This window comes from Homo sapiens, chromosome 3 (genome assembly GCF_000001405.40).
Source record: "Homo sapiens chromosome 3, GRCh38.p14 Primary Assembly".
Lineage (NCBI taxonomy): Eukaryota > Metazoa > Chordata > Mammalia > Primates > Hominidae > Homo > Homo sapiens.
Window position 1 is genome coordinate 98,566,567 of NC_000003.12, and position 27,321 is coordinate 98,593,887.

Consider the following 27,321-nt stretch of genomic DNA (forward strand, 5'->3'; position numbering starts at 1 on the left):
ATAGTGCCCAGATATGTGGTCAAACGTTATTCTGGATGTTTCTGTAAGAGTGTTTTGGGTGAGACTAACATTTAAATAAGTGGACTTTGAGGAAAGCAGTTTGCCCTTTATAAAGTGGGTGGGCCTCATCCAGTCAGTGGATGTTCTAAATAGAACAAAAGACTGACCTTCCTGAGCAAGAGAGAATTCTGGCAGCAGGCATGAACTGCAGATTTGGGACTTGCCAGTCTCTATATTCACCAATTCCTTAAATAAAGCTATATACAGACATACACACATGCATCCTATTGGTTCTGTTTCTCTGGAAAACCCTAACTATCACAAGCAGGCTGTGGTCATCAAGCTACATAGGGAGGGATATGAAGCTGGTGAACAAAAAACAGGGATATAGCAGGAAGCCAAACTGCGGCTCTATTAGGCAGGCATTTGAACACTGACCTTGCTCTTGGCCTCATCTTAATTTCCCACCATTAGTTTCCCTTTGTCAACTTTTCTTATTTTCAATTGAATTCATCTCACTATATTTTATGCATTATTATATATGTCACCTTAAGTCCTTTCTGGGACAAATTAGAAGTATAAATAAATAGATTATTATCATCTGGAGCAATTATGTAAGACTAGATTTAGATTCTCTACAAATAAAGAAGAGACATGAATTACACAAATCTAAGAAAAAATGATGAAGAGATATAGATGATAAATGACATAAAATTTAAAAGATGTGCAGTAGAAATCCAAGGGTGTATGCAAGGGAAAGTAGTTTAGTCATAGGATAGAAAGTATTGAGATTAATCAAGAGGCTAAAACATCAAACCACAGAGATATAAGCAAGCAGCAAAAACTCTTCATTTAAAAAAAAAAGGTTTACAAATCAGAGAAAATGGATTTTGTGTTAGTATGCCCACCTAAATTTTTTGAACATTATATAATTAAAATATTTTCTGATGGGAGAAAATTAAAAGGTTCAAGAATGAAGATGTACGAGGTCATGAAAACATAATGCTGTGTTCTCTTTGTACGTATATACAAAGACTATAGAGTAAGACTTCTTACTCTAAAAAAATTCTGAACTAATAAAAATTCAGGTGTACTTTTGCCCTATGTCAATAAGATGAGTTGATGGGATTTCTGACTTTACCTAAGATTATAGCAAAGCACTAATAAGTTGAAGAACAATCAGCAGTTAACTTAGACTTTCACACCACAAAAGCAGAGTAAGAATGAGAGGACTCCACCCCAGCTACCCACACAAGAACCGGGCCAGGGTAAAATCAAACTCTGTTGTGGCCTGAGACACAGGGTTTGATTTTTACCCTGGCCAAGTTCTTGTGTGGGTATCTGGGGTGGAGCTACCCACACAATAGGAACAACATTGAGAGGAAGCCCAAAGATTTTTCAGGGAGAAGCATTCTTCAACTTGTTACCCATTTTTCCTAAACAGAAAGTGTCTTCAGTCTCATGCTTTTGCTTATCCCTGTGGTATTTACACCAATCAGACCATGAAGAGATGATGCTGTGGTGGCAGCACAAAAAAACTGTGTTGGAGTTTTGAAGCATTGATAGCATTTCCTTCAAGTTGTCACTAAAATATAATTTGAAGAAAATAAGGTAGACCTGTAAAAACCAGAATATGCTTTTCTTTTAGTGTCTTTCTATACAAACAGAAATATACCCAAGTTCCTCTGGAACTCACGAGATATCTTCATGATTGAGCCAGAGGGCTGCTGTGTTTAGAAAACATAACCCTAGACACAGTGATCATTGATTTAAATGTAACTTCTAAACTCTCAAGCAAAAACTTGAAAAAGGTCACACATCTGGACCATTGTCCAGCACCCACTTTATAAAATACCTTCCCCTGTACCTTGAGGTGTACAAAATCTGTGACTTAGTTTGCATTTTATAAACAATAGTTTTACTTATTATTAACATAGACAGAAAAGACATTTGGGCACCATGTATAAAGTTCTATGAATCTTTAAGAACGATTGGAACCTGTTAAAGAATACTTTTCTCAGAACATATCTTACTTCTTAAAGTTAAAACTAGTTAGATGATAACGTGTATTTAATTCAGCTCAACAGTGAGGTCAAAAACAGGAAGAGGTCTTTAAGAACAGCGGTAATGTAATGGCAACACATGATAAAAATTAATGTAACAGAATGGAAAGTTTTTTCTAATAAGAAGCATCTATATGATAAAAATATGCACAATTAAAATGTTTTGAGGGCTTAAAAATCCATGGCCTTTACTCTTTAATATTTTTATTAATCTAATAAATAAAATCAGTTAAACAATCAAATAGTAGTAAAAGGTTATGACAAAACCCAGCAATTCCCTTTCCATTTCTATTCACCTCAGCCCTGCTGCCCAAAAGCAACAACTTTTAAATCTTTTTGATCTGTCTATTTACCTCTGTATTTCTAAGTTTAATCTCTTATCTGTTCTATTATATATTCATTAGAAGCCTGCCTATCTGTGGTCTCTTTACTTATTTTTTCTCTTTCTCTTATATTTTCCTCAAATATCTGATGACCCTGGCTATCTATTATTCTTTCTAATGTTTTCTCATTGATTCAAGTAATTTTGTTTGCTCTTATTTTTATTATAAGTTCTAGGGTACATGTGCACAACGTGCAGGTTTATTACATAGGTATACATGCGCCGTGTTGGTTTTGCTGCACCCATCAACTTATAATTTACATTAGGTATTTCTCCTAATGCTATCCCTCCCCCAGCCCACTACCTCCCAACAGGCCCCGGTGCGTGACGTTCCCCTCCCTGTGTCCAGGTGTTCTCATTGTTCAACTCCCACCTATGAGTGAGAACATGCAGTGTTTGGTTTTCTGTCCTTGTGATGTTTTGCTGAGAATGATGGTTTCCAGCTTCATCCATGTCCCTGTAAAGGACATGAACTCATTCTTTTTTATGGCTGCATAGTATTCCATGGTGTGTATGTGCCACATTTTCTTTATCCATTCTATCATTGAGGGACATTTGGGTTGGTTCCAAGTCTTTGCTATTGTGAATAGTGCCACAATAAACATACATGTGCATGTGTCTTTATAGTAGCATGATTTATAATCCTTTGGGTATATACCCAGTAATGAGATTGCTGGGTCAAATGGTATTTCTAGTTCTAGATCCTTGAGGAATCGCCACACTGTCTTCCACAATGGTTGAACTAATTTACACTCCCACCAACAGTGTAAAAGCATTCCTATTTCTCCACATCCTCTCCAGCATCTATTGTTTCCTGACTTTTTAATGATTGCCATTCTAACTGGCGTGAGATGGTATCTCATTATGGTTTTGATTTGCAATTCTCTGATGACCAGTGATGATGAGCATGTTTTCATATGTCTGTTGGCTGCATAAGTGTCTTCTTTTGAGAAGTGTCTGTTCATATCCTTTGCCCACTTTTTGATGGGGTTGTTTTCTTCTTGTAAATTTTTTTAAGTTCTTTGTAAATTCTACTTTGTAAAGTAGGGGCAAAGAAAAGAGTTAATCATTTTGTAGTGAAAATGTCAAAGCCTACAGCAGTATTTTTTTTTTCTCTAGAACTATTCATTATTTATTTGGAAAAAAAAAAAAGCCCTTGAATCTCCTGCCCAGCTGGAGACCAAGTTCCCATAAAGAAACGGGGCAGCCGATGGGCTAGAGCCCTCAGTCAGTAGCTCACTTGCTCACTTTCAAGAAACCCCTTATTTTCAGCCCCGGTCGATTATCTGCCTTTGAAAGGTTTAAATAACAGGGGGAGATGCTTAAGGCATAAAAAAGAAAACAGTGAGTATTCAAAATTATATATGCAATATGATTTAACTACATTAAAATATGCATAAAATACCTAGAAAGAAATATACCAAAATTTTGAGTATTTATGGTGACTTCTGAGTGGTGGAATCAAATGTAATTATATCCTTAATACCATTGTTTATTTTCCAAGATTTCCACAAAGCATACACACTAATTTAAATACGTGGGAAAAATACTTGATTTTTAAAGAAACATGTATCAGGATGCCAACAAGAAAACCCACAGAAGTGAATGTTAGTATCAGAGTAAGAGTTTTTCTGATCATAGCTTAAAAGATTTTAATTAAATACTTGATATACACATTAATATTTATAAAATATGAGGATACTAAGAAATATCCTATTAATATATTGAAATGTTGAAATGGCCACTTGTATATCAGAATCCAGCTGTAGAACACTACTAAGAACTTTGAAGCCATCTGTGAATCCTGCCTCAGTTCCATTCTCCATTCACCTGAATTTGGTATTTGTCATTAGCTTTTCATTAGTTTTATCACTTATGTGTATCTTTAAATAGCCTATGGCCTAGCTTTGCATCTTTTGAATTTTGTACAAATGGAACCACATTGCATGTATTGTTCTGCAGGTTATTTTATCTTCACTCAATGTCTGTGATATTCATCCATATTAATTTTCCCAGTTCTATAATTTATATACACATAACATGAGTCTAGGGCATTTCATTTTATTAATATACCAGAATTTATTTATCTATTCTTCCATTTATTAAACTTGGGTTGCTTCTAGATTTTATCATTACAATTTTACCTCTTCTTTTCTAATCTTTGTATTTCTAATTCTTTCTCTTGTCTAAACTTATTAGCTTAGCATCTCTAATACAATATTGAATAATAGTAGTGATACTGAAGATCCTTATCTTGTTTCTGCCTGCTAATTTCTCTTTTTCCTTTTCTTCAGTTTGCTTGGTTGTCTTGTAAAATTTCTTGATTGAGAAATAGTTTATTTTCATTTTTCCTTCTTTATCAATATAAATATTTAAGGCTTTAAGAAAACGCTGTGGCCGGGCGCGGTGGCTCACGCCTGTAATCCCAGCACTTTGGGAGGCCGAGGCGGGCGGATCACGAGGTCAGGAGATCGAGACCATCCCGGCTAAAACGGTGAAACCCCGTCTCTACTAAAAATACAAAAAATTAGCCGGGCGTAGTGGCGGGCGCCTGTAGTCCCAGCTACTTGGGAGGCTGAGGCAGGAGAATGGCGTGAACCCGGGAGGCGGAGCTTGCAGTGAGCCGAGATCCCGCCACTGCACTCCAGCCTGGGCGACAGAGCGAGACTCCGTCTCAAAAAAAAAAAGAAAAAAGAAAAAAAAGAAAACGCTGTATTAGTTATGTCTCATAGGGTGTAGTAGGTATTGTTTATATTATCAGTATTTCCTAGATATGAGTAATTTTGGTTTATATTTCCTCTTTGATCCAAGACTGGGCTAAGAAAAAAAGCTGTTGTAATTTACAAGATGTTGGAGTTTTTAGTTTTTTATTTGCTTGTTCATTTTTGTCTTGTTGTATTATAGAGAATATTGTCAGTATAGTTTCTGTTTTTTAAAATTTCTTATGGAGTTTGTAATTTAGAAAAGAATTTTGTCAATTTTTATGAATGTCCCTAGGTACTTGGAAGGGTTGTCTCTATTTTCAGGGTTCAGAGTTCAAAATATATATAAGTTAGAGACACTTTGTTACTCATGTAATTTACATCTTCTACATCTTTAATGTGCTTCCCCTGACTTGCTCTGTCAGGGACTGAGTGAAATAATTCAACAACTACAAGTGTGCATCAGTCTAGCTCCTGGATTTTTTTCTCCTTGTGAATATAGTTATGTACTTTGGTCCATTGATATTTATAGCGTTTTACATTCACATTTTAAGTACTCTTCTTTTTCTTATGTTATGCTTTTAGATGTGAATTCCATAATGGCTGATATGAGTATCATAACTCCTTCATTTTTTTAAGTTTGTACTTGCCTGGTATAGCTATCATTTTTTACTTTCTGAAGTATTTTGTCTTAAAGGTATCTGTTTTTTATAGCATCTATTTCTTTATGGTCCCACTTGAAATATTTTAACAGTATGTTATGAAACTTTTATTTATTGATATGTATGCCATTTTTTATTGATTGATAGGATGGGTATGTTTGCTATAGCTTTATCATATGGTTCTTGTTATTTTCTAAATTTGTAGTTTAAAGTCTCTCACTTAAGTTTGGTTTATATTTCTAGTCTACTGATTACCTTTACTATACTGTATTTAACATCTTCATTCTCCATTTCTTTAGACAGTGTCCATTAGTTTTCTCTAAAACCAATGGGAAATTAGCATCCTTTCACTTCCTGCCCTGTAACTCCGGCCAGAGGTAAGAAGCCAAGCTTTATGGTCATTATATTCTTTCTTTGGTTTATCAAGACATTCTGCTTTCTTCTCCACTTTCATTTTTAGTCCATCAAATTGTAAAAACGTATACACTATTTGAATAAGCAATTTTTCAATTACAAGCTGCTGATTTTTTTACACCCAAAATGTGTGTATTTGTGAAATACCCACATAATTAAATTAATGTATTGTAGACATAATAAAATTACACACAAACAGAGCTTTTGAAATGATAAAAATGTTTTCCTACCTGTCTTCACTGAATCACACACACCCCCTGGGGTATAAACTCTAAATTGAATACACACATTTAGATGAATAGTCCTCAATCTTTTTAGAATTATGTTTCCTCTGAGAGTCAAATTAACATTATTCATTCTCAGACAAAAATGTTCACATTTTCTCAGGCAACTCGCAGTTCAGAGATGGCCAAGGAACTCAGATGCTAAGCATTTAGACATTCAACATTACTGGAATTGTAGACATTGCCAACTTCAGAATCTCCCAATCATAAAGTGAGACATGAAACACAGTGGAGACATTTGACAAGACATAAACAGCATAGTCAAATTAGCCATGCTTGATTAAATATGTAATAACTCCTTTAGATAATCTGTCCAACAACAGCATAGTTCAACAAGAGTCAGATTTCAAATAATTTTCTCATTTCCCTCCTTCTTTGCCTCTCCTCTTTTTCTGTCCTGTTCTCCACCTCTTCTCTCTCGTTTCTCCTTCTTCCTCCCAGCACTTTTTCATTCTCCCTCCTTCCTTGCTTTTCTTTACTTTCTCCTCCTCCACTCCCTGCCAAAAAAAAACAAACAAAAAACCCCCTGCAGATTAGATTTTCTGCTCCACCTACTGGTTCTTTCAAGAATTTCATATTCTTGAGAAACTGAAGACACAACCTGGTATGTTAATGGAGATAATTTTATCATCTAAATTTTAGTATCTGAGAAGACCTTGATAATGTATAAACTAGGATCATTTTTAAGTGTTAACTTAAATCCCAATTTATTAAACATATTAACATAGAGTATAGATCATGTTAACATCTTCTATTTGGAAACAACCATTGTAATATTTGAGCCTTTATTACAATCACATCCCACTTGTCTCTTTAAATTTCCTTCCTCCTATTCTATTTGTTCAGATAGCTGCTTCTAGCTGTCTTTCCTGATACCTCATCCCGTGTTCATTTCTCTGCCCCCAGTTCGGTCTGTGATGCTCTTTTATTACACTGCATGCACTTCCTTGGGTGGCTTACCTTCTTCCACTTCTTCAATTATCACTTTTACAAAATTGGTAGACTTGTGTTTCTAGACTGAGCTCTCCTGAGTTCACATCTCTAAATACTGGTACAGGTAGCTTGCAAGCATTTCAAGCACCTCAAAACTGCTCTTCTCGTTTTTGTTAATGACATTTAATCTGCTTCAATTATCTATTACTGTTTAGCAAACCACTCCAAGCTTAATGACATATAAACAGCAACCATTTTATCACATTCACAGATTCTGTGAGTCAGGGATTCTGATAGGGCACAGCAACGATGGCTTGTCTTTGTTCCACACACGAGGGCACGTCAGCTGAAGACTGCCTCTTGCTGTTTGGGGAGATACCATATCTCCCACACATTACTAAGATGAAGAGTCGGGGTGGGTGGCAGAGAGGTAAAGATGAAAGTAGGTCCTTATTTTTGCTTCTTAGGAATACATTATTTTTAAGCACCACACTCACGTTGAATAGCACATAAGATCAAGTACACATTAAAAAACAAAAAGTACTTTCAGCAGAATTTGTATTAAGGTAGTTTTTTGGTTTTTGGTTTTTTTTGAGACAGAGTTTCGCGCCGTCGCGCAGGCTGGAGTGCAGTGGCACGATCTTGGCTCACTGCACCCCCTGCCTCCCAGGTTCAAGCGATTCTCCTGCCTCAGCCTCCTGAGCTGGGATTACAGGCGCCCATCACCACGCCTGGCTAATTTTTGTATTTTTAGTAGAGATGGGGTTTCACCATGTTGGCCAGGCTGGTCTTGAACTGCTGACCTCAGGTGATCCACCCACCTCGGCCTCCCAAAGTGCTGGGATTAGAGGCATGAACCACCGTGCCCAGCCTGTATTCAGGTAGTATTAATTTAAATGGTCTTTGAGGACATCTGAACTAGTTATTTTTAATAAACTACAGTTTGAACTACAAGAAATTGTGGATTTGTATATTATACTAATGGTTAGAAGAATGTCAAGCAGCAGGTGTGGAACAGATTCTAAAAGCCTGTCTCCCTCATCAAGTCAGAAAATGGAAGCAATCTTGAACCGATCTGAGCATAGATAAATTGCTATAAAGACTTTTATTTATGAAAGCATTATTCACTTGCTATTACATAAGAGGCATTCAGCCAGTACAGCTTTGTGAACTTTGATACCTCTCAACCATCTCATAAGAAAACACATCCATGACAGAGTCAGTGTTGCAACTCTAAATGACTGCAAAGTCAATTTACTTTCCTAAGTGGCTGTATTTGCATCAACCTATTGAAACCATGATGGCTTGGATTATGACAAGTTTTATGTTCAAACGCATTTTGAAATATGAAGGGATTAACAGTAAAAGAATTATTGAAAATACTGTTTGAATGAGCTTAAGATCTAGAATAGAGCTGGCTACACTGATCGGAAGAGGAAATGCAGTTCAACTACCTTGCTCTGCTGGTATATGTTAGTGAATATCCAGTATAAAACCACTTGTAGGCCGGGCACCGTGGCTCATGCCTGTAATCCCAGCACTTTGGGAGGCCGAGGCAGGTGGATTACCTGAGGCAGGATTTCAAGACCAGCCTGGCCAACATAGTGAAACCTTGTCTCTACTAAAAAAATACAAAAAATTAGCCGGGTGTGCTGGCTCATGCCTGTAATCCCAGCACTTTGGGAGGCTGAGGTGGGTGGATCACCTGAGGTCAGGATTTCAAGACCAGCCTGGCCAACATGGTGAAACCTTGTCTCTACTAAAAAAATACAAAAAATTAGCCGGGTGTGCTGGCTCATGCCTGTAATCCCAGCACTTTGGGAGGCCGAGGCAGGTGGACCACCTGAGGTCAGGATTTCAAGACCAGCCTGGCCAACATGGTGAAACCTTGTCTCTACTAAATAAATACAAAAAAATTAGCCGGGCGTGCTGGCACATGCCTGTAATCCCAGCTACTCGGGAGGCTGAGGCAAGAGAATGGCTTGAACCCAGGAGGCAGAGGTTGTGGTGAGCCAGGATCGCACCATTGCACTCCAGCCTGGGCAACAAGAGTGAAACTCTGCCTCAAAAAAAAAAAAAAAAAAAAAAAAAGCAACTTGTAGAAACAGGTCTGTGAGTGCATTATTCTGTTTTCATACTGCTATAAAGAACTGCCCGAGACTGAATAATTTATAAAGGAAAGAGGTTTAATTGACTCATAGTTCAGCATGGCTGGGAGGCCTCAGGAAACTTACAATCATGGCAGAAGGCAAAAGGGAAGCAAGGCACCTTCTTCACAAGGCAGCAGGAAGGAGAAGTGCTGAGCAAAGAAGGGAAGAGCACCTTATAAAATTATCAGATCCTGTGAGAACTCACTCACTACCACGAGAACAGCACGGGGATGGTTTACCCTCATGACTCAATTACCTCCACCTGGTCTCTCCCTTGACACCTGGGGATTTGGGGGATTACAATTCCAGGTGAGATTTGGGTGGGGACACAAACCCTAACCATATCAGTGAGGTTTTATGTTGTACAACTTATGACTTGATTTCAGGTAACAATACAAGGGAATTTAGTCAAGCCATTTACAAATGTCTAAGCGTCACTAACTTAAATGTGCTAATTTAGGTTTATTATGAAATTGGATTGTTATGTGTTTCTTTGGGAAGAAAGATGAAATTTTAAAATGTGAGATTTCAAATACATAATTCATACTTGTGGCAGGGATAATACAATACATCCTTGAAAACAATTTCTAAATGGGCTTTTAGAGATACTGGGAACTTCTGTTTTCACAGACTAGGAATAAGACAGTTATACAGACAACTAAACAACACTAAGCTTGATACTACGATATATTGCAAAACAGTGTTGGAAAACAAAGGTTAACACATCATTCATTAGGTAGCAGGTACTATAAATAAGGAAAGATCCACCTTCAATATTTTGTAATAAGTGGGATGTGGATTGAATGACTGTAAATGGAATATGTTGACAGCAATACTAAAAGTAAAATGTGTTGAAAGGGTAGAAGAGATTGACTCCAAGGAAGGTTTCTTGAAGAAGATTTAAAATGGGCATGGAAGGATGAGCGGGCACATAAGACATTCCAAGCAGAGATAGCAGCAGCCTGAGAAAAGGCCAGAGGGGATATAATTTGGGGGAAGTTCAGGAAAAGTGGTGAGTGGTGAGTATATGGTCTGAGACTGAAGTGCACAGAGAAATGTAGAAGATAAGCCTGAAACACGAGGTAGGAGTTAAATGGTGGATTGCTTGAATGTCAGACTGACTTTAGAATTCTGTCTGGAGAGGAGATTCTTTGACTATTTCAGCAGGGTGGTGATAATGGGACCTAGGAAAATAATTCTGAAGAGAGGGAAAGGTCAGAGTGCCCAGAGGCAGGGAGAGCATTGCAAAAGTTCAGATGAGAAAGTATGTGAGACTAAAGTAGGGTGGTGGCAAAGGGCAGAGGAAGGAAACCAGGAGCCATTTCAAAGGGGGACTCAACAGGAACTAATTAGGGCAATGTGGAGGGTTGAGTCCAATCTATTTCGTGGTTTTGAGTGTGGAAGGCTGTGTGGAGGTTTTGAAGATGACTGGGATCTAATTCCCTACCACTCGAATCTGGAACTGTCCTTAATGACAGACTTGTCAGGAGTCCAGTGGAATGTGAAGAAAGTGACACTACATAACCTCAGTGGTTAGAACAGAAAACCACCATACTGCCTTTGCCTTTTTCCATGGAATTCGTGCTCTGAGCCACCCATAGGCAATGCAGCCTGCAGTCCAAGATGAGCTGAGCCTTTGAGTCATCCTCACCTATGTACAGACATGCAAGTCAAAAACCTGCAGAAGATTCCTGTCTCTAAATATTGTAACAGCAAAAGACACATGGAAGGATAAGTCATAAAGAAACATTTGGCTTTTCAAATCTTGTACTCCTTAGCGTGCAGAAGCACTTATCTCAAATACTCTGCTGACTAGGAGGGTCAGCAGAGTACAGTGATGAACAGAAAATAGTGGTTAAAAATTTGCTCCAGAGAATTGACATTTCTCCCCTCCAGACACCCTTTATTACCATGAACCTGCATGCATAAGACAGTTAGGTGTTCAGGCCATCTGGAGGTGCACTGTGGTCTTCAGGTAGACTGAATTAACACCAGTAAGAAATTGAAAGAGAAATTCACTTTGAATAACAGTAGGATAATCTGTTTTCCAGTAGTTATGCAATTCTTTTCAGACATAGTCTAATCCATAGTAGAAATACGTGGTTATTGAAGAACTGAAAACAAATGCACAGAAAAATTTTATCTTCATTTACCCGCCACAGCTTTAAACACAACTAAATAGGCTAGCATTTTAGCATTATATCATCACTATGTAGTGATTTTCTATTTTTTAAAAGCTAAACTGAGGTTGATCTGAACATTTGTTCCTATATGCCTATATTTTTCCTAGTATTAGATTTATTGAAGTATTATTCACATATACAATAAAATTCCATTTTAAGTTCAGTGAATTTTGATAAATGTATATACAGTCTAGTAACCATCACAATCAAGATGTAAAACATTTAAATCACCTCAAAATACTCTTTTGTCCCCTTTCACAAATCTGCATCCCCTAACCCCTGCCATCCATTGATCTGCTTTCTGTCATTAAAGCTTTGCTTTTTCTAGGTTTTCCTATAATGTAGTCATATAGTAAGTACTTTTATGTGTGGCTTTCACTTGGCATAATGTTTCTGATGTTCACCCATGTTACTGTCATTAGCAATAGTTATTCCTTTTCATTGCTTAGTATTTTAATATACGCATATATCACAAGTTGTTTATCTGCTCACCTGCTGTTAGCCATTTGGGTTGTTTCTAATTTTCAACTATTGAATAAAGCTGCTATGAAAATTGAGTACAAAACTTGTATTTTTCTTGAGTAAAATACCTAGGAATGAGGAACTATGGCATTAGCATAGCTGAGCCTTGAACAACACAGGTTTGAAGAGTTTTGCTTCTTCGCAGATTTTCTTCCACCTCTGCCACCCTTGAGAGAGCAAGACCTACTCTTCCTCTTACTACTCCCACTAAGCCTACCCAACATGAAAACAATGAGGATGAAGACCTTTACGATGATTCACTTCCACCTAATGAATAGCAAATATATCTTCTTTCTTACGATTTCCTTAATAACATTTTCATTTCTTTAGCTTGTAAGAAGAGTATATAATACATATAACATAAAACATGTGCGAATTGACTATGTTATTGGTCAGGCTACCAGTCAACAGGAGGCTATTAGTGATTAAGTTTTGGGAGAGTCAAAAGTTATACAAGGATTTGAAACTGCATGCAGTAAGGAGGAGTTGGGGCCCCTAGCCCTAATGTTGTTCAAGGATCAACTGTACTAAGAAATATATGCGTTTTCCTATATTATCCTGGCAACAAAAAATATAAATATTTCTTAGTCTTATTTAATAATAAAATTTATTAGCAGATCTCTTGTAAGACAGTTGAAGAATTCATACATTTTCCAGCCCCAAAAAGGCCACACAGAATCACAAACATTCAACGTGTTCCACGATAATGATATGTATGAGATGCTCTTCCTTATAAACTTTATTACGAAGCAAATAAAATAATACATTCATAATATATGAACAAAGAAATCATACATTAAGAATCCTGTTGTGATTTGCTCTTAAGAGCAAAGAGCTGCAGAATCTCTAATATAAAAAAGAGGACATTTTCAATGTGTCCATTTTCCTAAGAAACGTGTGTATGAAATGCCTCCAAGTTTCTCATACTATATATACTTGCTTTAAAGAAGGAAATTATTTCTCATTTCATTTTCCAAATGAGAAACATTGCCTAAATTCATGACATCCCTAGGATTATTCTTAGTCTCAACTTCCACACAGAGATGTCTGAAATAGAAAACTCTTAAGTATCAGAATTCAGGGATATAAGCTTTCACATTCAAAAGTGCAGAGAATCCCAACATTAACAAACAATGGTTCCACAAAAATCAAAATTACAACTTAGACATCTCTAAAATAATAGTAATGTCACTTTAGAGTTTACAAACTACAGAAATAACTGAATTGTAACACATGCAGAGATTATTTCAAGTGCTTCTAAATACCTATTAGAAAAATGTGTATCTATTTGACAATATTATGTTCTCTGGAGAAAGATATATAAGGATTACAGCAGAGACTTCAGTATTGACAAAGTAAAATTTTTACCTTCAAGTTGCATTCTAAAATTACTATGAAGTCTCAACTTCACTGAATTAATGAAAATAAAATATATTCCACGACAGATTTTTGTGGCACAAATGAAAACTTTAAAAAATACATGAAACAAAAACAAGATGAGAGATTTCCTGATACATATAATACTATTTATATTCCCTTATCTCAATACTTGGAAACTCAATGTCCTATTTTGTAAACTAGTCATATAAAATGACACTAGAAGTATAAATGAGGTTTAATCAATTGACTCTGACAATCTGCCATCTCACCATTCATCACTGACAGCATCCAAAACATGTTATCATCTGCCCACGAGGTAGGGTGCAGAGTGGAGAAGACTAAGGCACGGGTAACTGCCACACAGTGGCAAAGTGCCGACCAGTGGCATGGGGAGCACACATCGTGTGCCCTCCAAACCCCTGCACAGCCATTCTGCCTGCATCAACGCACCCAGTCCCTTGGATGGCGTAGAACTTCCAGAATTTCAGCTTCTTTGGAATTCTCTGAGGGTGAATGCATGTACTCCCATCTATGCATGTCCAAAACAAAAGCAAAAAACGTCATAAAAAATGACACACATACCTCTTTACTTAAAATAAATGAAAAATAAAATCCTAAGAATAAAAAAAAAAAAAGCCTTATACTTCTTTGTCTCTACTGTGCCTGATGTGCCTTGTACCAACTTGACCTTTAAAAAAACTATTTGCCAAACAAATAGTTTCTTAACAACTCTTGGGTATGCTTTGGCTAGTATTAATATCCCAGAGCCAAAATACACCTTTAATATAAACCAGGGTTTCATATAGTGTAGAAACTCAGGTGATCCATGGGCAAACCTTCTTTAGCTTAATACTTATGCATACCTCTTCTCAGAAAAACAAATAGGCAGAGAAGGTCCATCTCACCTCCTAGCCACCATGACTCAGCCTGTGTTCTCTCTCCCTCTAGTCTCTCCTTGCCCTCATAGAGCTGTGGGATTCACCATGTCACCGCTTAAAATACCCAATTTGATTTGCCTTATTTGACTGTGATTTTCTTATAAAATCAGCAAAGTCAAAACTAACAAAGACCTAGGCACAACATCTGCAGTGTTAACTTTCATATTTTGTGGGTGTTTGGGAATTGGGAGTGTAGGGATAACTACTAAAATGAGTTATCTCCTTACCGGGCAGTTAGAGGTAAAGACATCAAGATACTTTCAATTCTGGATCCTGGAGTGAAGAGGCCAAACTTTGTGCCCCGATCATACAGCAGATTAAATTCTACATACCTGCCATAAATACATCAAATAACATTAAGGGCCAGCTCAATAAAATCTTAAGACTAACCCATAACAAATACTTAAAAAGGGGTGGGTTCTTCCCCCCAGTTCCCATCAGCTGGAACTGGCACAGAGGACACCAGCCTACAGCCCATTGAGAGCTCTCCATCTGGACAGGCAGAAATAAAAGGGTATTCTACCCACCAAACAATAGAATATAGATTCTGCCCCAACATAGAGCAGTCACAATACAAGGTTATGTTTTCCCATAAGTAAACAGAATTGACACAAAGCTGAGAAGTTTAAAGCAGAACAACAATTAAGAAAAAGAAATGCATCCCTTCTCAGGATAACCCAGCTCTTTCTGGCCTTCCTCATAATCTGGAATGTTTTGGACTCAAAGATTTCATTTCACTGCCTGTAACCCACAACTACTACTACTAAGATGGTGTAAAACTTCTGACCTGAAAGGCCAACTACAGCTAACAATAATCTATTAATAATGGACTATGATATTCTATATATTCCTCTTTCCTAAAGTAGTTAATTGCATTAATAAGCAGTCATATAATTCAGTCTCTCTGCAGATTAATAGCAATCATAATAAAAGGTAGTGTTGAGTTGCAGTGTTTTCATTTTTTTTTTAAATACCCTTAGCATCAACTAAAACTTGGTTCAATATGTTAACTCCCCTAGTCAGATCTGGACTCCTTCCAGTTTAAAACCCTGCATCTGCCTTTAACATAGGATGTAAACGGGTCTCCCTCTCCCATTTCAAAAGGATAATTTCTACTACTCAAAAGAATTTAGACTGATTCATAATCTGAAAAGTTCAATAAACAGTGCCCCTTTCAGATCATTTCTTATCTTATTCAGAAATTACTCCCTTGGTCTAAACTTCACTCACATATTCTTATTTACCTATTGGTTACTGTCTTGATGCCCATCTATAGCAAAATATCCTCTAGATTCCCACAATAATTTTTTTTTCTTTTCTTTTTTTTTTTTGAGATGGAATCTTACTCTGTTGCCCAGGCTGGAGTGCAGTGGCGCAATCTCAGCTCACTGCAAGCTCCGCCTCCGGGGTTCACCCATTTTCCTGCCTCAGTCTCCCGAGTAGCTGGGACTATAGGCACCCGCCACCATGACTGGCTAATTTTTTGTATTTTTAGTAGAGACGAGGTCTCATAGTGTTAGCCAGGATGGTCTTGATCTCCTGACCTCGTGATCTGCCCGCCTCGGCCTCCCAAAGTGCTAGGATTACAGGCGTGAGCCACCACGCCCGGCCCACAATACTTTAATTTTTTAAAAGCACCTTTTGTATGTGGAACTTGTCAAAAGCCCTGCAAAAGTGTAAAGAATTTTATCTATGCTCCCTTTCTAACTCTCACCATTTATCATTGACTTTTACGTACAAAAAACTATTTAATACCTTCTTATGTCTGTTTCAAAAAATAATTTAAGTGAATCTTCTGAATCCTTTTCTAAGACCATGGAAAATAATTTCATCTTTTGGCTACCTTTTTCACCTGATATTATCTTTCTGAAACATCTCTCTAGGGGATGGGTATGGTTCTCTAGTTTATATTGATGTATTTGAAGACCTATCGCAGAGACCCTTGTAAAGATTCCTTAATGAATTTTCTGTTGGATCCTTTCCTTTATTGCGTGAAGGATGCCCCTTTCTCTACATTGGCCTCTCTACCTCCCACCAAGTTGCACTTAGATCTGATTTTTCTTTTTTAATAAAAAATTTCCATCTCCTATTCCTGGTATAGATCTGATATTCTATATATTCTTCTTTCTTAAAGTAGTTAATTGCATTAATAAGCAGTCATATAATTCAGTCTCTCTGCAGATTAACAGCAATCATAATAAAAGTAGTGTTGAGTTGCAGCATTTTCATATTTGTTTTTAAATAATATTATTTAATCTTTTCTGATCCTTTCCATACATCTGTCCTCTCTGGGGTGCCTATAAGTTAGGGACTTTAACCAATCCCTTCAATTTAACTAATGCCTAAATTTTATCCTGTTTCCCTTTCCCAGAATACAACGAACAAGTAAGTTAAAAGTCTTTAATTTCTGTTTTCCTATGAAAAGGATAACTGTAAGACTGATGTTCAAGGTCTGGGGGAGGATAGCAGTAACTGTGGGCAAGAAACTGGATGAGATTGCCAAATAAGAGACTGTAAAGTCAAAAGGGAATGAGACTGACTGCTGAAAGGGAGACCGGTGTTTGGACAGGGTGAAGACGAGGCAAAGTGGGTAACAGTAAGTGAAAAGGATACAGAAAACTGGTCATGACTGCAGTATTAGAAACCAAAGACAGTGTTGATAGCCCCAGAGAAGAACTGGAGTTATCTTAGGCCCCAGAGTTTATTGCCATCTTAAGGACCAGAGATAAGGGAGGCAGAAAGAAGCTGTCTTTGAAGAACAGTCACACACCATACCATAGAAAATTAATCTACTACCCCACAGTTCTGCCTATCTCATGACACCAGACATGCAATGATACACAACAACGACTTTCAGAATGATCTGCCATCAAACGATGTATAAAAAACAAAACAAAACCGCAAAACAAACCATTACTCCTGTCTATGAAGTTTTAAAGGATTCACCTAATTAGTATTGACAAAATCTGCCAAGTTTTGCCTTCGAAATCTTGTGCAAAACTAGAATACTTTACTTTGCACAGAGTTCTAAATTGTCCTCTTGGGTATGTCTTCCCCACTAAACTATGAGGTTCTTTTTGGCAGGTCCATGTTACAGCCACCGGGTAGCCAAGATAGTGCCTCATCACAGGGGCCCCAAAATAAGTATCAAGTGAAAGGAGGAAAGAGTGGTAAAGGTATATTTAAGAAATTATGGAAGCAAACAAAAAACATGTTCCAAAATACATGCATTCTTTAAGAAATTTCTAAAAATTTACTCTCATGTTTTTCAAGTTAATAAATGGGAACCAGATAGCACAGGCAGTCATAAGAAAGGATATACACAAATGTTTATCTTTAGACTGGAAACATTATTTAAGTTGACCTCTTTAAGGCAAAAGCTTTACCTCTTTAGTACCCAAAGCTTCTTTTGCCTAACACAGAATTAACGTCAATGAGAAAATCCATTTTATAGCCATGTTTCAGTAGTATACAGGCATTTAAGGTGGCAATGAGAAACTGATTGGGGCCAGCAGGCTGTATAACTTGGAGTGGATTTACAAGTACACCGTGGCTGGAGACAGCCTCAGACTGGACACCCCACTGAGCTCACCAGGCTCACTGCACAGAACAGGGTGGTTAAAGTGAGTATCATGGTAAGAAGCACAAACCTGCTTCAGCTGCTTAACTTTAGGCACTACACAGACTATAAGTTTTGAGGTCATTTTGACCCAGTTCCACATCTGAGATCTTAAATTTACCAGCTGTGTCTCTTGGGCAACAGACTTAACTTTCTGAAAAAAGATGATTACACCTATCTTACAGGTTTGTTGAAAAACATCAGATACAAAATGCCTAATGTAGAGGCCAGCAAAATTTCTGAAATTATTTCCATTAAAATAACTTCCGTGAAATCTTTAAGATGAATGAAAAAAGGTGTGATTCCAAATTTACAAAGCAGCAAAGACATTAAATGAAGTCTACATCTTGACATAAGGCTGGAGGGTATTACAAGAAGACTAAGAGAAATCAGCAGAATTAAATTCAGGAAGTACTTACTACATGCCTACTATGAGTCTCTAATGTATAGATGAATTAAATAAACTTTGCTATAATTATAATATTACTTTACACAATGTCTTTTAATTCACTTAATATTCATCTATGAAAAGAAATTAACACAACTATTACAAAGTATCTGACAACACAACACCCGCTATTATTAAGAGCTGCTCCACCTCCCCCACTTAGCCATGAAAGAATTCGTTTTCCAGTCACTTACCGTCCTCTTCTGAGCTGCTGCCACAGCTTCTCCTGGGGGGTGAATGAGTCATCACAGTGCTTTTTCACAAGGGGAATGTAAGAAGGAACTACAGCCCTGGCACAGCTCTGTACAAAGCGAAACACCTCCTCCTTGGACGGAGAGTCAAGATCATCAAAAAAGATACCACCAATGCCCCGCCGTTCTCCACGATGGGCTATAAAGAAGTAATCATCACACCTGGAAAACACAGCGGCGCCAAACCAGGGATCAAATGGAAAAAAACAGACATGAAAATCAATGTGAGCCTTTCAGGTTACAGCACTATCCTCAACTAATGTCAGGATGGTGTCCTTACTTGCTGTCCAACTATGAAAATGAAATGAGGACTTTAGACAGATAGATTTTTTGCAGATATCACCAAGGTAGAAAATGCTTATCCTCTTTTTCTTTTCTTTTCTTTTTTTTTTTGAGACGGACTCTTGCTCTGTCCCCCACGCTGGAGTGCAGTGGTGCGATCTTGAATCACTGCAAGCTCCGCCTCCCGGGTTCACGCCATTCTCCTGCCTCAGCGTCCCAAGTAGCTGGGACTACAGGTGCCCACCACCATACCTGGCTAATTTTTTGTATTTATAGTAGAGACGGGGTTTCACTGTGTTAACCAGGGTGGTCTCGATCTCCTGACCTCGTGATCTGCCTGCCTCGGCCTCCCAAAGTGCTGGGATTACAGGCGTGAGCCACCATGCCTGGCTGCTTATCCTCTTATTTTCAAGGCGAACAGGCAATTTCACACAAGTCTCTGTAAAGGATGTGAAACTCTAAGAACTTTAGTGAAAAGAGAAACAGTCCAATATCGATAGTGTATTTCTTGGAATAAGCTGCTGCCTTCGGAAGCACTGCTGCTTTTGTAGGAGGCAGGAGGACAGGAATCTTCCACTAACAATGACACCAACCATGGTGCAAATCCAAGCTCTCTTGAGTGAGTTCTTTATTCACCAAAGGAAGGTACTATAAACAATCTCTCAGGTCTCTTTCAGAAATAAAATTTGATGGTTCTATAGCATGAAAGACAGGGAAAAGTTGGTGGAAAAAAAGGTTCAGATGATATCTTTTATTATTTCATATGTCATATCAGACATATGAAAGTTTACCCTGTGAGGCAGCACATAAAACTATTAATCTGTTCTTGAGTCTTTTCCCCTCTATGACTACTAGAACAGGTTTCCTAAGAAGCCATTTCCTGGGCCGGACGCGGTGGCTGACGCCTGTAATCCCAGCACTTTGGGAGGCCGAGGCAGGCGGATCACGAGGTCAGGAGATCGAGACCATCCTGGCTAACACGGTGAAACCCCGTCTCCACTAAAAATACAAAAAATTAGCCAGGCGTGGTGGTGGGCACCTGTAGTCCCAGCTACTCGGGAGGCTGAGGCAGGAGAATGGCGTGAACCCGGAAGGCAGAGCTTGCAGTGAGCCGAGATCGCACCACTGCACTCCAGCCTGGGCGACAGAGTGAGACTCCATCTCAAAAAACAAACAAACAAACAAACAAACAAACAAAAAAGAAGCCATTTCCTAACTGTTAAACTTGTAAAATAGTTTATATCCTAAAAGTAGTTCTTTTGATAATCTCTGCATAAGGGTCCTTAAATAGAAAAACATGCTCAAACAAAAACTAAAAGCTATTTAAAAGGTTACCTTAAATACAGCTTCAATTGCTTAAACAACAACAACAAAAAACAACAGATGCAAATCCCTAGAACTGACGCATAGGTAGAATTCACCTTAATCGTGACTTGTTGGCCTTCTTTATATGCACATTTTATTAACATAGTCTAAAAAAGTATATCCTGAGTAAAGTTGTAAAGTCAGTTTTTAACCCAAATCATACTATTTCAAAATCTCTCTTTAAAACATTACAAAATTAAGTGATCTACTTATTTCCTAGTCAGTGTTCTGCTGCTTACAACAGAATAGCTGAAACTGCATAATTTATAAATAAAAGGAACTTATTTCTTAAGTTATGGAAGCTGAGAAGTCCAAGGTTGAGGGGCTTCATCTAGTATGAGTGTTCTTGCCGGTGGGGTCTCTGCAGAGTCCTGAGGCAGTGCACAACATCACATGGTGGGGGGCTGAACGTGCTAGCTTAGGTCTCTTCTTATAAAGCCACCAGTCCCACTCCCATGAATTTAACCCATTAATGCATGAATGGATTAATCCATCCATCAGGGCTCTGCCCAATCACCTCTTAAAGGCCCCAGCTCTTAATACTGCCAGATTGGGGGTTAAATTTCGACATGAGTTTTGGAGGGAACAAATATTCAAACCAAAGCATTTATACTAAAAACTTCTTTTTAACTAGCTACCATCCTAGATATTTTATTACCTAACACTGCTTAAAGTCATCTCAGTAATAGCTAGAAAAAGGAACCAAAAAAGAGAACTGTCTACTCTATTAGTCCTCCTGGAAGGATGCTAAGTTCTGAGAGAGAGGAAAAAACAAACAAAAAACCAGTATCTGCATGCATCCATGGCTGTGTAGTTTTCAGTAGTAATATTAAATCAAGAGAATATTCAAATGTTTCATCTTTCCTGACGATTTTAAAGCTGAACTCCATACTCTTGCATAAATATTAACATTCCACAACTATTAGCTCTAAAAACAAAGCAAAAAGACAAAAATTCTTTGTCCTTCCTTTTTCAAGAATGCCAATTGGCTCTAAGCAGAATTGAGTACTTTACTCATATTCCAAACAATTTGTGCCAAGATTCCATTTGATGATAACAAATATTCTGGGTCTTCTCCCAACTTTTGTTTGTTTTCTTATTTTATCATTAGAATTTCTTTAACAAATTCTCCAATTCTTCTTTCCCCTTGGCCAAAATCTCTGGTATGTTGGCATCTCCCTCTAGTGGTTCTCCAACCCTTCCAATGCCCTTAGACATTCCCAAGTCAACATCAGGAATAATAATTCTCATCTGGAATAAGAATTTAACAACCCACTCCAGATTAAAAAGCCTCTCATTCTCAAGCATAGATGACCTTATAGTTTATAGTCTACCATTCTAAATCATTTGGAATAAAAAGATATTACTACTCAATTTATATTAAATATTTCTAAGTAAATAATTTAATACAACCACTTAAAACCAGTATTCTAATTCTTCTGATGAGCAAAGTAAGAAAACTAGTTCCATTTTCATAAGCAGAAGAGGGTATTTAGTGACATAATAGTTGCCTTCAGAAGGAACAGAATGTAATTTTGGGGTCATGAAAGTTCAGTAACTTTACCTACCATTTTTTAAATTTGGGGTAGAGATCTGGACCATGCTGGTCACAAGCCTCCTTCAGAGTTCTGTGAAAATGGACAGCGTCTTCTTGATTCAAGTATGTTGGAGTGAGGTCACATCCACCACCAAACCACCACTGCTTGTTGCCTACCAAATCAAGACATGGGATTCTAATGTGGACTTTTGAGATTCAGCATTACTGGCTATATTAGGACACTTAATTTAGCAGCTTAATTTTTTCAGCATAAAATGGATGACAATAAAAAAAATTTTAACTGATTTTAGCTCTGAAGACCAGTAAGGCCTAGGCAGAAAAAAAGAGGTAAAAGCGGCCAGGCGAGGTGGCTCATGCCTGTAATCCCAGCACTTTGGGAGGCCCAGGCAGGCAGATCGCCTGAGGTCAGGAGTTCGAGACCAGCCTGGCCAATATATGGTGAAACCTCGTTGCTACTAAAAATACAAAACATAGCCGGGTGTGGTGGTCACCTATAATCCCAGCTACTCGGGAGGCTGAGGCAGGAGAATCACTTGAACCCAGGAGGTGGAGGTTGCAGTGAGCTGAGATAGCGCCACTGCACTCCAGCCTGGGCAACAAGAGTGAGACTCCATCTCAAAAAACAAAATAAAACAAAACAAAACAACAAGAAAAAAGAAGAAAGAAAGAAAGACAGTGGAACTTGCAAGGAATGATATGCAGGGCAGTGAATGATAAAACAGTACACTGGTGGATCAGGAAGTGGATTGCAACTCTGGCTGTATATAAGAATCACATGACGAGCTTAAAATAGCTCTTCTAGATCACAATAAACACACACACACACACACACATCTCTGGCCCAGGAATCTGTAGTTTATAAAACTCCCCAGGAGATTCTGACACTCCTTGTATTAAGAACCATTGCCAACCCCTCCCCTTTCCTAGAAAGAGTAAAAACACTTGCTGAGGTAACTTACCACTTGAGAATAACTGTTTCATGTGCTCACAGGTCCATGAGTTGTCAATACCAGTTACCAACTTTAAACATAAAAGGTTGAACCAAGCTGAATGGCTTCAAAATGAAAAGTTAAAGCAGTGACTTTAAATGCCATCACCTACAGAGACACCAATAAGAATAGGTGTGGCACTGCACATGTACTCTGACATCTAGTATCAGATAAAAGACAGGCTGGAACTATGTGCACAGGAGGCATGATCAACTGCATCCCATTTTAAACCCACTGCTAATGCCCTGGTGACTAGCAAAGCTATGCATATGTAAAATATTTTCCAAAAGCAAGTTCTCAATTTCAATTTAACCTCGTACATAAGGTATTCCTTCAGATGTAATGAATTTATGTTTGCAAAGAACTCTGGGTGCACACTAAAGTTCAGGTTCATTCCTTCTATGTTGGAGGAAATATGGGAAGGTTAGAGTCAGTCAATACCATTCTTTTTGTTTTGTTTTGTTTTGTTTTTTTGAGACGGAGTCTCGCTCTGTCACCCAGGCTGGAGTGCAGTGGCACAATCTCCGCTCACTGCAACCTCCGCCTCCCAGGTTCAAGTGATTCTTCCACCTCAGCTGCCCGAATAGCTGGGACTACAGGTGCGTGCCAGCACGCCCAGCTAAGTTTTTGTATTTTTAGTAGAGAGGAGATTTCACCATGTTGGCCAGGCTGGTCTCAAACTCCTAACCTCAGGTGATCTGCCCACCTCAGCCTCCCAAAGTGCTGGGATTACAGGTATGAGCCACCAAGCCTGGCCCCATTCTTACTTGTCATGTCTCAGGCATAATCCATTGCACTTGCCAAGAAATTGCCTTTACATTGCCTCCTGAAAGACCTAATTAAGACTATTCTTTCTCGCTTTTAGATGTTATGCCCTCTTATCTGTTTTAAAATGCACATTTTGCACGACAGTACTTTCCGTAGCTCCTGAGACCCTTACCATCAGCTTCTTCTACTTCAAAGTATCTGTAGTTGAAATGGATAGTAGGAGCATGAGGATTCTTGGGGTGGATAACAGAGCTCACGCCCATAGCACAAAATGGCAATTTACCTGGAAAGTAAAATATGAGTCATGAGCTATATTCAGTTACCTTGAATGCCTTGATACAATTTCACTCTAATATGATTTCCAAGTCAATTTTCAAAAGCTGCTTTTTAATTTGTCACTTAAAAACATAATTTTAAAAAAGTATTTGTCAACGTGCGGCATATGAACCCGAATGGCTTTTTTCAGAAGCAATATTTATTTTATAAATAAAACTTGTGGGCAAAATAAGGTTTGCAGGGACTATTAGAGACTATCAAGACTGTCTGATTTACCATCTTTAGTCTTCAGAACTTTTCCTCTGCTTCTCATTTGTTTTGCAGCTTCCTCTGAAAGATTTCCATGAACAACAGAAATGCTCACCCCAGCCTTTTCGAAAACACACCCATCTTGAAGTACACAGCTGATGCCGCCACCTCCTGTGTATAGAAATGTAAAAAAGGAGAGAATGTAAGAGTATGTGCAAAACTGAAAGCAACACTTGCATGAAGATGGTTATTTTCCCGTTTCCCAAATCTTTTATATCAGTGTATTTATCATTTTATGTACAATACAATTAGATAACTAGCTTAGCTTTATGACATATGCTATTAATATTGGGCAAATACTAGACCTTCTCATATCACTAAACTGAATATTTCTTCAACATTCTCCTGCCATCATCTAAAATAAATCACTGGAATATTCTCCCTTCAGATTCTACTGTTCAGAATGGCATCTATCAGTTATGATATATGAGAGAAAGCTAAGGTTAAAAATAGGAATGGGTAGACTTGAAGGGTGTTCTATTATTACTGAATTTAAGAGATCTATATTGTTTCAAAAATTTCTTTCTCAGTGGGCTGCTTGCCTTTTAATTTACAAGCAATTAAGAAACAGTAGGTAATCAAATTCTGAAGGGATTCAGAACCTTAGAGTGAGTGAGACGCACATTAGTATTCACGTGTATCAGCCTTACTAATTTTTTTTCTTAAGGTATTAGGGTCACTGCAAGGGCAATGTTTCATGAAAGTTCATGTTTGGCTTGTTTTATTTCTAAGAACATTTAGAGCTGGATGGGACATAAGATGATCCAGTACAACCCTCATATATTCCAAATGAGAAAACTGAGGACCAGAGGGGCAAAACATCTTATCCAAGATCAAACTGCTGACAAGTGGCTGCAACAATTTGTCTAAATGCTGTCTATGCTTCAGACAATATTCTAAGCACTTCACATATATTCCATCCATATATATATATATATATGTATATGGATATATATATATATATATGTAGTATGAGGATTAAAAGAGATGAAATACATATATATTTCATAGATGGGAAAACAGCCATAAAAAAGTAACTTCTGAGGATCACACAGCTGGTCTAGTACTTGAGGTTGTGTCCTGGTTCAGTGGTCTTTGCTTGAAAACATAAGATGGAAAACTAGACTGAACTTCATTTAATATAGATGTGTCAGTATCACAGCTCAAAATCTGCCGGTGAGAAGCTGCTGTTGTATTTCCAGCTAGGAAAAGTCAGGAATCTTTCAAGTTTCCACTCAAGATGTGGGGTTTCACTGTATGGGCAACAACATGGTCATGAATGTACGCCTCTACGAGAACTGGGTTTTGATGCTCAAGTATTTTGATATTGGAAGAGAAGATTTTCCTAGCAGGAAATCTGATGCGTGCATTTGGTAGTGCTACTGAGAAACGAATCAAATATATCTTGTGTAACAGTAAAAAGAAGTGGGAAGATTCTGACACAATGACATCCTGGCTGGAGGAGTTTAGCCGACACTTAGCGCACAGGAGATGAGTTCTTTCCATCTCCTAAAGAGGAAAAAGGGCAAATTCACCCAGAGAAGGAGAGAAAATGTGTTCCATAATCTATTGAAATTTATGTTCAGTAACGAACTTTGGACATCTAAGCTTGTTAGCTGCAAATACCCCTTAAGAGTTCTACAAAAAAATGCTGCTACGGAATTGCAAAGATTTTGAAATGCAGTACTACAGTGACAGCTGATCCGGGTCCATACCTGCAAGCAGAGGGCTAGTGACCCTTTCGTGTCCATCTTTTTATCAGCGGCCTCTAACCAAGCGGCCTCTCTGTGGGTACCCCCTACCTACCCCATCCCATATTGTGAACTATTATATTTTCTGTCTGCAACCTGGAACCTGACCCTTTTTCCCTGTCTCCAACTCCCGCCAGGGGCCGGCCTCCTTACCTTCCTTCCTCTCCCACCGGTCCACAGAAAAGTTGGCGCCCCCGTCTACCTGTGCCAGAGCCTGGCACACCTGGGCCTGGGTCTCCAGAATCAGCAGCTCCATCTTGGTCTTCATGTCGCCCGGCCTCCTTCGCAGCTCGCCCAGGTCGGTCACAGGCGGGGCCATGAAGCTGCTGCAGCGGTGGGCCAGCTCATCCTCCTCCTCCTCCGGCCTCCCCAGCGAAGTGGCCCGCGTCCCCGAGGTCTTAGGCAACATCTCCGCCCGCTGCACATGCCCGAAGGCGGCGGTGGCCAGCCCCACCAACCCCGCCAGCGCCGCGGCCAGCCCTGTCCCCACCCAGGGGCCGCCTCTCGACGTCGAGCCGTGCCCCAGCCCGCGGCTCTGCTCCGTGCCAGCCGGGCCAGGGGGCCGGCAGACGCGTCCGGCTGCGCTGCGCTGGGACCAGGCTCGGAGCCCTCCGCCGCCGCACTGGGACCAGGCGCGGGGCCCTCCGCAGCCGCCCCGCGCCACGAGCCAGCAGGGGCCCGAGCTCAGCCTGCCCAGCTGCAAGGCCATGTTCCCGCACTATCACCTGGAGCAGTGCCTGCGTCCCAGAGCCCTGCGTTTGAGCCCCCCACCCAGACCCCCGGAGTATTGAGCCGGCGAGCTGCACAGGCGGAAAGAACCTTTCGAGAAGAGCCGCTGCAGCGTCGGGCTCCGGAGGCGGGGGCGGGAACTGGGGCGCGCTGGGAGCTGTAGTCCGGATCCTATCGCCGCCTGCGGCGTCCCTGCGCGGGGCGGGAGATAAGAATCCGACGCGCCCAGAAGGGCTGGTCCGAAGGGAAGAGAGTGGGGCGGGGACGGTGCTGTGGAAGGGACGGGAGAGATAAAAGAGGCTTTCTTGTCACGTACAACCTCGGGTCGGCTGTTTACTCAGCCAAGGAGAGAAGATAGAGTAG

General features: G+C 39.1%; 1 protein-coding gene across 6 annotated transcripts, besides 1 other annotated feature; it reads right to left on the bottom strand.

Moving 5' to 3' along the window:
* Positions 3,922-27,045, bottom strand: CPOX (coproporphyrinogen oxidase). Of its 6 annotated transcripts, none has more exons than XR_001740025.3 (7): positions 26,383-27,045; positions 24,446-24,589; positions 24,066-24,176; positions 22,147-22,288; positions 18,875-19,093; positions 11,501-11,704; positions 3,922-7,004 (listed from the first exon to the last, which is right to left on the bottom strand). XR_001740025.3 is itself a non-coding variant. In NM_000097.7 (7 exons), exons 1-7 carry the CDS (start codon positions 26,936-26,938, stop codon positions 14,117-14,119), a joined length of 1,365 nt encoding a protein of 454 aa, NP_000088.3. In that variant the 5' UTR covers positions 26,939-27,045; the 3' UTR covers positions 12,880-14,116. The 6 variants fall into 6 exon arrangements, 5 of the variants coding, with proteins under 5 accessions (XP_005247182.1, NP_000088.3, XP_047303429.1 ...); NM_000097.7 differs by lacking the exons at positions 3,922-7,004; positions 11,501-11,704 and adding exons at positions 12,880-14,204; positions 14,841-14,945; XM_005247125.5 differs by lacking the exon at positions 3,922-7,004 and having other exon boundaries at positions 9,606-11,704.
* Positions 26,584-27,033: a silencer, noted in NCBI's record as "silent region_14560". NCBI's record gives its function as "represses an Ori minimal core promoter by ATAC-STARR-seq in GM12878 lymphoblastoid cells {active_cell/tissue: GM12878}" and the evidence as "EXISTENCE:reporter gene assay evidence [ECO:0000049][PMID:35858748]".